The sequence below is a fragment of the Homo sapiens genome, chromosome 7 (assembly GCF_000001405.40).
Source record: "Homo sapiens chromosome 7, GRCh38.p14 Primary Assembly".
Lineage (NCBI taxonomy): Eukaryota > Metazoa > Chordata > Mammalia > Primates > Hominidae > Homo > Homo sapiens.
The window spans coordinates 95,797,179-95,810,684 of NC_000007.14; the positions used below are offsets into that span (position 1 = coordinate 95,797,179).

Genomic DNA, 13,506 nt, shown 5'->3' on the forward strand with positions numbered 1-13,506 from the left:
ATTTGTACAGTAATTTGAATTGTGAGCTAAACTAGCGGCCTTAAAAAAAAAGAAACACTATTTTTTACATGAACAACTGACAAGCTAGGGTGATTCAGACTTCAGTATTTGGTAGACATTTTCTCAAAAATCAATGGTGTGAGTTTGTCACTTCAAGAACACAACTGACAATATTTGTTGCTAATGATAAAGTTTGAGCTTTCAAGCAAAAATTAGAATTTTGGGCCATCCTGAGCTTGACAGTTTTATGTCACCTAAAGACTTCTGAAAAGATTGGCGATGAAGTTACTAAATTTGATTTTCAGATATAATATAATGTGTCAATATTTGGAAGGTCTGCATGATTTATTATTTTCCAGTTACATTTTCCAAGTAACCTATTCATGACATTATAAAATCATACATGAGTAAAAGATCGATTCAACGTTTAGGATAGACCAATGGATTTTAATGTAACAGAGTACAAAAAGTTCATTGATTGATATGGTTTCATATTCACATTGCCGCTAACCTTTAAGAAACTGCTATTTGTTGACTTTTGGTATAATAGTGAAGAATATCCACAATTACCTGAAGAGGCTGTTAAAATATTCCTCCTTTTTCAGATTACATATCTGTGTGAGGCCAGATTTTCTTCATATACTTTAACTAAAATAACATATCACAACAGATTGAATGCAGAAGCAGCTATAAGAAAGCATTTGACTTCTATTAAACCAGATGTTAAAAAGATATGTGAAAATGTAAAAGAATTACACTCATCTTACTTTTTTTTTGGTCTTGGAAATTGTATGTTTTTTTCACAAAATGTTAATAAATAACATGTATGTTGTTATTTTAAAATAATTAAATACTTAAAGTTTTATCAGTTTTGATTTTTAACATGATTAATGTTAATAGATAACCTACATAAAAACATAAACTAAAGCTCTTTGAAGTCCTTGATAATTTTTAAGGGTATAACAGGGTACTGAGATAAAAATGTTTGAGAACTGCTCTTCTGTGGTATTAGTAGAACAGTCCTGAGCATCGTCCTACTATAAGGTGGATTTTATTTAAAATTTTGTTTTCATAGTGTACTGATGGCTGTAAAAATTTAGAAAATAACCCTCCTTTCACTGGCCAACTCCCTCCTGAGATGTCTATCACCCTCTTTTTTTTTGACTGAGCTATAGCTGTAAAAGTGGGCTCACGGTGGTCGTCTGTATCATCCCTTGGCCTCCCATCCAAGTGGAAAGAGGCAGCTGCATTTTATGAGACACTAAGCAGGTGAAATGGGGCTGTGAAAGATCAAATTTCTTACACGTATCTGTGGCAGATGAAAAGTTCAATATATGATAGTGAAGAGCTGACAAGAGCAATTGTTTTCAGGCAGGAAAAGAAAACTTATTTCTGGGTATTTTTTCAATAAGTCTGGCAACAGCTGGGCAGTGATTTAAACCTCCTAGGATTCTGACTTTAAGCTTAAAAATACATTTGCATATGCCAGCATTAGGAATGGAATCCCAAACGGCTGCCAACTTAGACAACCGAAAGGAAATAGAGATCTATATTGTTCAAAAGCTAAGCTTTGGGAGGTGCTGTTACTCTGCAGCTGTGTAAACAGAACTAAACCCTTTGCATCTCCTCTGCTAGACACTTTGTTCTAAATAGGACCAAACTATACCATGATGATATGTGCAGAAATAAAATGAAGGTGATAGAGCTCATTGTTGGGTTCGAGAAAAGCTGGACATTTTCCTTTCTCTATGGATATATGCAGACATAAGAAATGTAAAGGAGATGTAGGGGAACCTGGCAAGGCAAGAGAAGATGTGAAATTGATTTTAGTTTTATTTCCTCCCTCCTCAGTATCCACATTTCTTTCTCTCATGTTTTCCTGCCTCCCTCCTCTCCCCATTTTTTCCTCTATTGAAACTGAGGGGCCGGGTGTGGTGGCTCATGCTTATAACCCCAGCGAAGGCCCAGGTAGGAGGATTACCTGAGGTCAGGAGTTCAAGACCAGCCTGGCCAACATGGCGAAACCCCATCTCTATCAAAAAATACAAAAATTAGCCGGGCCCAGTAGCACCCACCTGTAGTCCCAGCTACTCGAGAGGCTGAGGCAGGAGAGTCGCTTGAACCCAGGAGGTGGAGGTTGCAGTGAGCCGAGATCGGGCCACTGCACTGCAGCCTGGGTGACAGAGCAAGACTCTGTCCCAGAAAAAAAAGAAGAAACTTAGGACCGTGAGCCATTTGTATAATGGAATAGCAGGAGAGACCTTCCCTGTAACTAACTTCCTAACTAGAGAAGAAACCATGTCTTCATATACCAACCCATCCTCTGGGGGAAGTGGGTAAGGTGCAGGGGATGCCTGCTGGGGACAGCTTGATATGTAATTCTTATGTTCAGAAGAAAAAATTGAGAAGTTTTCTTTTTTTTTACTGTTGAGTTAAATGACTACACTTAATTTTTTAAAAAGTTTTTTTTTTTTTGAGTCGCATCCCTTTTCCCACATGCCTTCCATTTTATAACCCATTTAGATAGAGAAGCTCCTACTACTTGCTCTGAAGTGTTTTAGAATGGCTAGGAACACAGATTGGATTTCCTTACTTTAAATGTATTGCTATTAAATCAGTAATGTCCCATGTCTTTCATGTAATTCTCACAGTAACACTTTTTAAATGATTGCAGTGAACTTTGAGTGATGACATGGTTATTGAATTAGGGTGCAATTGGTGATGTGGGCAAGAGTGGGCAGGGTAAACTAATGGTAATAATGATAGAAAAGGAAGAGGAGGAGGAGGAGAAGGAGAAACAACTTTTCTTGGGTATTTAGTATTTGCCAGGCATAATGTTTAGCTCTTTACTTATATTGACTCATTTGTTTGGATCAAAAGAATGACAGCTTACTAGATCAGAGATGTGCTGAAGCCAAAGTGATCAAAACTGAGACATTTGGGAGGATAAGTGGAGATGAGCTGTAGTGACAACACTAAGCAGAGGATAAAGGGTAAATCAAAGAACAAAAGGAAAATCAGTAGTAGAGAGCTGAAATTTGAAAAAATGTAGCAGGCTCTAGGGATTTGTGTATGGAGTCTAGGGTAAATGTAGTAGCTGATTTGAACTTTGAGACATCTGTTTTGGGGTGAGTATAACTTGGCTTGACAAAGAAAGACAAGGGGTGAAATGGGGATTGTGTTCAGTGATAGTAAAGCTGGAGGGTTTGCAGGAGAACAAGGGCTATGATGTGGGGGTGGAGGGAGATAAGATGTGTGAATTTGGCAATGAAGCTGGGTGACAGTGAGTGAGGAAGGGGAGATGCCACTGATGGAAAAAGAGTTCTGAATATGGGACTCTGCTCCGAGGATGCTGAGCAGGAGGTGCAAAAGTGCAACTGATTGCAGTGGATGGGGCTGGGGAGAGACTGAGCTGTGATTGCTCCTAAATCTGGGTAGAGTGAAGCCGAGAGTTGGCTGGTGTGTGGTGGAACATGTAGATGATCAGACAGGGAGGAGCCCTATACCCAGAGGTGGGTTTGATTTACCCACTTGATCCCTTGCCATTTGTAAATGAGAGAGCAGTTTTTTATGTGTATGAAGTAACTGAGCAATAATTAGCAGCAGGTAGCTTTGACTCTTATTTTCTTAGACTGAGAGCATCAGAATTGCCTTAGCAATAACCTGCATTAGCCACAGGAATCTCTATAACTCATGTCCCTCATGTTTTGCTCCTCGATTTGCTTTCTTTGATGTGCAGGGAGATTTAGTGGGTCAGACTAGCAAGCCCCCCAGGAAATCCTACGGAGTTCACTGCTGACACTGCATTTAATGCTACTATTTAAGCCATTTTACTATGTGTAAAGTCTCGTTCATTCACTATAATGTATACTTTCCAAACCCTTTATGAGGCATTCTCTTGAGGTTCCTTATTCTCCTAGAGGTTGATGCTAAGCATCTGCTTTGGAATGGATCAAAAAATCAATAAATGGAAAGCCCTTTACAGTTGTGTCTTCTAACATTGTAACCTACTGCATTTAAAGACATATTATTTGGATCATCACTACCTAATATAATCTTTTTTTAAGTTCCCTCAATGTTTTTATTGTTTATTTTTAAAATATTGACTCTCCGGCTGGGAATTCCAACTTAAATGATCAACTTTGTAAGACATATTTATTATTTGCAAGAAAGCCTTTGCACTTTGAAGAAATTTTCTGAGAATACATTTTACTTCCCTTTTGTGATTGAAATTCTTTGCAAGAAAATCATAACAAATACAAGACTTTCTTATATTATGGTTTCCTCCTTAATAACCATAAATATTGCTGAAGTTGCACGAGACAGTTTTGATGATTTGGAAAAAGGTAAATAAATGTTGGGGAAAGGTCAAGTAAAAGCTGGGGAAATGTGGAGGAGGGGAAAACTCACATTTTCTAAGAAGATTCTCCTGGCTGCTTTCAGCTTAGAATGAAACAGCTATTGCTTTAACAGTGATTTTTCTGATCATACATTTCATTTTTGACTGTCAAAAAATTTCCAGCACACTAGTTAGATGGACCCTCATTGGTCAAGGGCATTTATAACTTCTCAGATGACTTCTGGAATTCCTGCCAGGAATTTTACCCATTGGTGTTGAAAATTATTGGCAACCTGTATTTCAGTGATAAACTTCACTTTTGTGAAGTTCTGCGACTTCTCTTGGAAAGAAAAAGATCAGAAGATCTAACTTCATAGGTCTGTGTCCTTCCGTGTGGACCCTCAGTCGGACCTGGTGGATCTACCTCCTGAGGACAGGGCATTTCCTCTCTGGCTGGCCCTCAGTCACGGCTCTGCTTGCTCAATTACTCCCTTGGCTCTGTTAAGACTTTGAATTGCATCTCCTGTTTCAACAGCCCTTTGTAGGGGGATGACTCCAAACTCTATTCCTCAACTTCAGTCCCCCATCCCACTTCTCCCCCCATCTGTAGTGTTGTATTTGTGCATTCTGCCCAGAAGTCCCACTGATACCCAAATTATGACATACATGCTGCAAGGAGTTTTTTCACCATTTTCCTCTTTGCCTTTTCTTCCTAATTTCACTGCCATCCCCTTTGCTTTCTCAAAGTCAAATTGTTACTGGACCTTCCTTTTTTGCTTCCATATTTAAAGGCTACTAAGAGTTCCTTGGTCCCTCTTGGCTGTGCTCTCGCTAATGCACATTCTCTACTTCTGTCTCCACATTCGCCTACCATTCCCGTACAGGTACAGTTGAATCAGAGAGAAGTTGGCATTAGTTTCCCAGCAGCTTGCCTTATTTCTAGTTTTTGCTCCAGTCTGTTATACAGGCAGGGACAAGAATAGGCTTAAGCAAATTCCATTTTTATTTTGTCACTTTTCTTTTCAAAAATCTGCTATGATTTCCCATCACCCATTACACCAAATAGAACTCAATTTTCTGTTTTGTCCAGGCTTTCCAGGTTGCCTCAACATATCCATTCTTGTCAATTAAACTTTGTTTTCTTTTTTCTTTTTTAAAACAGTCTCACTCTGCCACCCAGGCTAGAGTGCAGTGCATGATTATAACTCATTGTAACCGTGAATTCTTGGCGTCAAGCTGTCCTCCCGCCTCAGCCTCCCAAAGCACTGGGGTTACAGGTATGAACCACCACACCTGGCCTCAACTTTCTGTTTCTTGAGTTGAATTTATCCACATCTCTTGCACTCAATCTGTCAGTTCCCTCTTTGACAGGTCTTCACACATCCAAATATGCCCTTCTCTTGCTAGTTTCTGACCTCATTCAATACCCAGTCCCAATTTTACCTATTCCTCAATGCTTCCCCTGGCATACTCCACCAAACCTTGGTTAGCATTTTGCTCTGCATTCCTCTGAACTTGTACACTGGGTATCACAAAGTTGTAGTAGGTCAGAGCACGGACAAGCTTGAATTTAGGTTCTGCCATCTATTGGGTAGGCAGTCTCAGTTCTTGCTGAACCTCCTTTGTCTTAATTATGAAAAGGAATTAATAATAAGAATGGTGTACTTGGATTGATATGATTACATGTGATAATGAATGTCAAAGGCCTGGCACTGAGTGATCAATAAGCCAAGATCTCAGAGAACATCTCCATCCACACTGCATGTCCACAAATTTGAGCTATACGCTCTTTGAAGGAGAGAATCTGGTTTTGCTTATCTTTGTATCCCTATTCATTATAAAGTGCCTAGCACAGATTAAATACAGCAAATATTTGTTGAAAAATGAAGAAACAGTGTGATCATGAGTGGCACAGATTGGTTATTGCAATCATTCTGATTATTTCACAAATCTCCGCTGTCACACTGTGAGCAGAAATGTGTATAGTAGAAAAACAGTGTATTTCCCAACTTGTGTATTTGTCTGAAAGTGTGTCCCAGAGTGACTGTAGATTCATGATTACCGTCTGGGGACAACGACAAAAAAGTTGAGAATTTTTCATTGTTCTGTATTCTTTGGTATTTTTTTCCTTCCATTGCTCTGTCATCTACTTCAAGATACATTATATATTTATCCTAGTTGCATACAAATAGTATGTGAATGAATACTCATGACATTTACGGTTAGTCAATTTTTCCCCATTATTTTAGAAATTTGGGCGAGGGCAGCTCTTCATTTCTCAAGGTTTCCATTTTGTTAGTTTTCATTTGGGAGCACAAAAGACTCAAATATATAATCATTGGTAATTAGTAAGAGTCTTCTTCAAACTGATTTTATTTAAAAATGTTACTGGCACCATCACTACCAGCATCGTCATCATGATTAACATTAAAATTAAATCTTGTTTGGATAAATTTTCCCAAGAACTTGCCATGGTGTTATCTCCCGTTTCATGTGCTCACAAACACCCTTTGCTTTGGAAAGTGAAGGTGCCAGAATAAGCAATATTACATTCAGAATGCAAATGAAAGCTTTATAGAAATAGGGTTGTGTTAGAGATGAAATTAACTGTGACACTTCAGGAGTTTTACCGAGAAAGAAGATTAACATGTTCGGTCTTCAGCGGCTGTCTTCCCTGATGCAAATAATGTTAGGCAAAATGAAATCTCCATGCATCCGAGCTCAGTGGAGGAATGTTTATTGAGTCCATAGAAATTTGAGCAGGGCATATCTCTAGGGGTTTATGACAGGCTGTTTTCTTTTCTCAGTGTGGGGATGAATTGCTCCATTATCATCTAAATTGGAAGTCATGATGATGGTTCTTTTTTGATTCTCTTATTTATTTTTGTTTATTTGTTAAGAAACTTGTATAGAAAATGTGTTGCTTATCTGGAAGTTGCGATTCTTGCTTAGGCCACATAATAACCTTGTATTTCTTCAGATATTTATGTATATATACCTAAAAGGGAAATATTTTATATCCTTAGACCAGATCTAACTTAATTTGTTTCTTTGATTCTTTCACATAGGCTAAATAATACAACCTCTTGTTGATCATCCAAAAGTCACATTGTTAAGTTGCATTTTCTTTAAAATGATTTTTGCAATGATATACAGAAAAGTTATTTATATATATGTTCACTTTTTTTTTCTCTTTCTCCAAGGAAACCAACATGTCTGACAAAAGTGACTTAAAAGCTGAGCTAGAGCGCAAAAAGCAGCGCTTAGCACAGATAAGAGAAGAGAAGAAACGGAAGGAAGAGGAGAGGAAAAAGAAAGAGGTAAATCCTGGGTGTTGGGGTGTTGTGGGGGAAAAAGGAAAATCACTTGATTCTGAGGGGCTGGTCAAATGGATAAATAGGACTCCCTAAAAGAATCCTTTTATGATATCTGAATAAAATGATTATCTTCCTATTCTGCATGGTAAAGTTGTTGCCCTCTGCTATGTGCTGGTCAGCCATCACCTAAATGGGGGATAACATTTGGTCCAGAGGCTCCAGAGGCCTGCAGACTCCAGGCTTATCACAGACTTGAAGAGAACTCTAAGGATGGTCTCTGATCTTGTTATTGTTAGAAACTTCTTAACCTTTCTGTGCCTCAGTTTCCTATTTTTAATATGAGAACAATAATGCATTTATTTTGTGGGGTTGCACTTAGCAGTATCTAGAATATAGTTAGTATATTCTAACTATAAGTGTTAGTTTTAAGAAAAGGGTTTTTTGAAAAATCTACCAGCAGGAACATTTTAGGAGAAAATTAGAAAACTATGCCAATGGATTTCTATTGTTTCCAAAATGGTATATATATTTTTTATGGTAAATAAGCATCTTAGGTTTGGTAAGGGGGAGGCTGTTCTTCTCTTAGAGAGAAGGTAAATAGGATAGTACAGTACAAAGAATTATTACATGTTAGATCTGGCTGAAATTTCAGAGACTTTCCACTGAGGCCTTTCTTTATGCCAACAAAGCAGCAGAGACCCAGAGGTGAAATGTAGCTTTTCTACTTTCTAGACCTAGAATCTTGGATTCTATAAGCCCAATCCAATGCCTTGTTGTCATATCATGTTTTCTTCCACTATGTGAATCAAACAAATAATTTATTTTTAATTCTCTAATTTGTCGTGGCAGTGTAGGAATAGCCCACATCTTATACAAAAACCAGATACCAAAGATATTTTTGAATAGCTTTCTAAGAAGAAAACTTCGTGTGGTATGATATGCTTTTGTGTATAGAAACCAGAGCTGCTTCCCTATGCAGTTCTTCTGTAAGGAAAAAGAAAACTTATTTTGATGCCTTACAATCTAAATAAGTGTTGTTTCATACTACAAGGCTGAGAGACCAAGGTAATAGATTTACAACAATTATTATTTTCCAACAAAATAAAAGATGATTGCAGTTGCATTTTAGCCTTCTGGCATCTCTCATCTCTCCATACCATTACGTGTTGATTGATGTGATCATTTATTTGTCCTTGACATCACACATAATGTTTTTTCCCTTTGAGATCTTTGCTGTTACATACTCAGTCTTTGAGTGAAGTAGAGGTGAGAATTGACAAGGAATGGCTATTCATTTCCATGCAAAGTCAAAAAAAGCATTAAGTTATTATATTTCCTTTCCCTCAAATGTCAACACTTACTGTAGTTTTAAAGCACCTGCTATCCTTTACTAATAACCAGTTTCCTTTTAAACTGACATTCTAATATCCAACTTGAATGTCATAAAATTACCACTAAATGTGATGTGATATGGGAAATTTGGTTCCAAATTATGCTGTCTGCTTCATCTTTTTCATTTTACACATTTTGGGGAAATTACAGGCAAACTAGACTGATGGAAGCAGTCTCCCCTTTTGATTCTACAACCAAGCACTTTTGCCTGGTGAGGATTTAGCTGGTTTCAAAGCAAGAAGAGCCCTGGGAGGTTGGAGGCTGCAGGTAGTGGAGGGTGTGGAACACCTGGACTCTAGACATTCCTGGTTGTTGCCTTGTTCTGGAATTGACATCATATGAAGTTCTAGTTTCCTCATTTCTAAACTGACTTGGTGATTGAAGCTTGTGATAACTGAACTGTGCTCTACAGAGTCAGATGGCAATACAGAGTCCGAGTCTTCCATCCTCAAAGTTTCTGATTTGAGTGATCTGAAGCAGGGTCAGATTTTGGGATCCGTTGGACCACATCATCTGTAGTGTCTCTCCTGGCTTGAAATCTTTTCCCTTCACACCCATCTCCCCTCAAAGAGGTCTTTCCTTGATTCTGTCCATGCACTCTCTGCAACTGTGCTGACTTGGTTTGTTCTGAGCAGCCAAGGCTGTAAGACAGAAGACATAAACACAGTGATTATGCACAGGGGCTTTTGAGTTGAACATGGCTGGGAAACCTGGATCTGCCCTTCACAGAATGGCCCTGAGTGGGTATGGGTCCTCTCTAAACCTGTTTCCTCTTCTGTAAAATGGAGAAAGGAATGATGTCTTCCTCACAGATTCAAGAGGATAATAGAAGATCCCAGAGCAGTAAAAGACAGCTGTCATTCTGCTTCTGAGATCAGCTATCAGAGTAGATGAATGGGGCTTCATAGAATGGTCACATACATTTTTAGGATCTCTGCTGGTGAGGCCATTTTATAAAAATGCCCCATTGTTGGAAGGGTCTTAAAATTCAAGGCCCCCAGTTTCATGGGGTTGGAGCATTTTGTGGCTGAAAGGAATCTGGAAGTCATCTATTCTGATCCTTTCTCACATGGGGAAGCTGGGCTTCAGAGGTCTAAGCCTTAGAGCCAGGCCCCCTTTATCTCCAATCACGTGAAGGAGTCTGGAGTTAAAAGGGGGCTACCTCTAAGGCTCATACAGCCAGTTTCCCAGATCAGAAACCTGAAGTCACCCTTTCACCACCCCCTACCCCAATTCGCAGTGATCATCAGGTCTGGACAGGCATAGCAGGACTCTCTTTTTGCCTCCATTTTTTTTCTCCCTAAAATCCACATTCCAGTCAGATGCAGCTGCTTACATATACCCTGATGGACTACATTCTTTCTTGTCAGAGAGCTTAAGATGTTCTCTTTCCTCTGCTTTCACTGATCTCCTACTTCTTCCTATCATCCTTTGCCTGGCTGTTAACTTTACCTGGCTGTCCTTCACCTGGCTGTTAACTGCATGTCTTTCCGTTCTCATCTCAAATGTCACTTTCCCAGAAAGCTGCCTCTGATACCTTTACCCATAACTAGGTTAGTTCTGCATCCTATCTTGACATTATCAAACCGTTTAGTACAAGATGTTATATTTTCCCCTTCACTTGTCTTTTTCTCTTAAGAGATTGCAAGCTTTCAAGGTCAGGGCTATATGCTTTTGTTGTTGTTGTTGTTGTTTGTTTTTTAATCATTGAGTCAATGTCAAATATATTGGACATATGGTAGGCATTCAAAAAGGAGTTATAGAATGAATGAATGAGTGAATAAATGAACATATGAACTAGTCAGGGCAGGTTTGAGAGGCACGTCCCAGACATCCTTTCCAAGCATCTGGTGTTCTATTCTGCAAATTTCTTTGGAAACTTCTGATCCTGAATCCATGGGATATCGACTGGCCACTGTCACTGACTCCCGAGTTTAAGATTTTCTAGTTTTGTGTTGTTTATAGAGAATCAGAAATAGCTTTAAATAGTCTTGATTTTTATAAACTTTCTTTAGGCTTATATTTTCAATAAAACAAATAAATTTAACATTAAAAAGAAAAGAAATGCTCTTTAATACTAAACTAAGTGCCCTTTTTTTGCCATGAATATAAAAACTAGTGTGAATTAGGACCACCCAAGTTGATTATCTCCACAGAATTCAGAAAACTGTGTCCATATTGTGTAAAAATTACCACCCTTTGCTCTTTTGGATGTCAACTGCTTTCTTGGCTGTGATATTATGGATGAAATCTGATTTTAAAATAAATATAGTGGCCACCATTTAAGACACTGGCCCAATTTAATGAAAAATTGGCTTTAATGCAATGAGGTGAGCTCAGTGGGGGCCACCCTGAAGTTTCATTCTGTCCTTGGCTTCCTGCCGAATTGCTGCAAGGTAGAATGGCCAGGGGTTTCCTGGCCTGTCCTCACATGTTTCTCTAATAAATGTGGAAATGTCTTTAGGAAAGTGATTGACAATTCTCAGCTGACAAATTTTTCTTTCTTCGATTATCCTCTCTGGGTTTCAGCTGTGATTACTCTCCACCAACAGAAATATAACTTGCTGAGAAAGGCACCTTGAAGATTTTTAATTACTAATACTGCAAAATCACTCCTTGTTGAATCATTAAAACATAGTAGGATTCTGTAGTAGATACAGATCCTCACTCTGCAACATCTTTTTTCTCATCTTAGTTCTATCTTTGCCTCTGTTGTATACATAAACTTTGGGACTTGTTTCAGTAGTTTAAATGTTAAAATTGGAAAAGAACATGAACTTTGATATCTTCACTGATAAGAGATTAAACTGCCATTTCATAATTTTGGGTTATGCAGAGTGTCTGACTCTAAGACTCTTATAAGCCCTTATTGGCTTTCAAATGGTAGTTTTCCCTCTAATGACAGATAGACTTCAAAAATATGAGTGATTTAGCTCAAAGTTAATAATAACAGAATTGTTGAGCACAGAGACATATGCAAAGATGCACTTAGTTTATAATCAGTGTGTAGGTTACCCTCTGGGAGTAAGTCAAAAGTTGCATAAACTCTTTCTGCTTATAGATACTACAGTGTAGCTAATGCTTCACTTGCTTTGAAAGGTATTCTACATGCCCAAAGAAAGTAATGTACTTGTTAGCATACCCAGCTTTCCTTGGGGAAGAAGGTATGTCTCATAATGAAATGTTTTTTGACAGGCTTTAAGACAGCCTCACTTCTGTAAGCTTACAAAGCTTTGTTGTGAGGTAGTTACACATCAACGTGATGTTATCATGTTTCAGATGTGGGGCAAATAACTTATCTTAAGTAATAACTGTATTATGAAAGAGAGAAGAGACTTGGAATTTTTAAATTTCCCCTAGAATCCCACCACAGATCTTGTTTACCTGCATTTTAATTTGTCACTGATCTGTAAAAACACCAACTGGGCATAGGATCTGACATTAAGAGGCCAGTATGAAAAACATAATGTGTTTTTAGACAGAATTTGTGAAAGGAATTTCTTGTAAATGTTTTGTTTTACTATATTTTCTACATGATAATTTTCTTCTTCCAGTTAGTATATATAATGGAATGCTGTGAAAATTAGAATAAAGTACCAAGACATATCAATATTGATCACATGCCTTAATACAGATTTTAGCCCAGTTTATTTTAAACCATGGCAAACTTGTCTTAGCAATACAAATAGTGTGTTTTATAGTTAAAAATTTTCATAAATAGTTTCACTTTTCAGCAAGATCCCAACAATACCTGGTTTGCACAATCCCAAACATGGGGCCTGAATATTACAAACACACAGTCATCAATAACTGATATCCCAGAAGGGACAAGGAAGTCTAAAAAAAGAGACAGAATTTTTTTTTATATTATATCCCCAGCCAGAAATACTTTGCCTTGATGTTTTCTCTTCCAAAACCTGTGAGAGAAACTTTCATCCCACGTGATAGAAGCAGGAAAAAGCCTTCAGCCAAAAGAGAAAGTACTGGGCCAGTAATTATTAAATGGGGCAATTATGGTGTTTATTCATCCTTTATACATGTGATTATATCTATTTAGGGCTTTCACCTTGTCTTCACTGCCATGCATTTATCATTTTTAGTTTCAGCCAGGAAAAGCATACATTTAGTTATGTTATTAACTTTTCTTACTGACGTCTACTTCTAGGCTGATATGCAGCAGAAGAAAGAACCCGTTCAGGACGACTCTGATCTGGATCGCAAACGACGAGAGACAGAGGCTTTGCTGCAAAGCATTGGTATCTCACCGGAGCCGCCTCTAGGTACTTAAAAGTGCTTCCTGTTACTATTCCTCAAAATCAACTTGCGTGGGATATACCATGTCCAGTGTTTACTATTCTTTTAAGTCTTTAGTTTTTTTTAATTTTTATTTTTAAAGACATTCTGTGGCTTATGGTTCAGGTTGCATGTGTTTTTGGAATTGAGGGGGCTGGAAGGAGA

General features: G+C 38.1%; 1 protein-coding gene across 5 annotated transcripts in view; it reads left to right on the forward strand.

Annotated features, from left to right (window-relative positions):
* Window positions 1-13,506, forward strand: part of DYNC1I1 (dynein cytoplasmic 1 intermediate chain 1) — a 337,769-nt gene that overhangs the window by 24,625 nt on the left and 299,638 nt on the right. For all 5 annotated transcript variants that reach the window (NM_001278422.2, NM_004411.5, NM_001278421.2 and 2 more), the window contains exons 2-3: window positions 7,543-7,659; window positions 13,214-13,328. In NM_001278422.2, coding sequence (NP_001265351.1) covers window positions 7,552-7,659; window positions 13,214-13,328 — 223 coding nt within the window. In that variant the 5' untranslated portion in view covers window positions 7,543-7,551. The remainder of the gene's footprint in view (window positions 1-7,542; window positions 7,660-13,213; window positions 13,329-13,506) is intronic.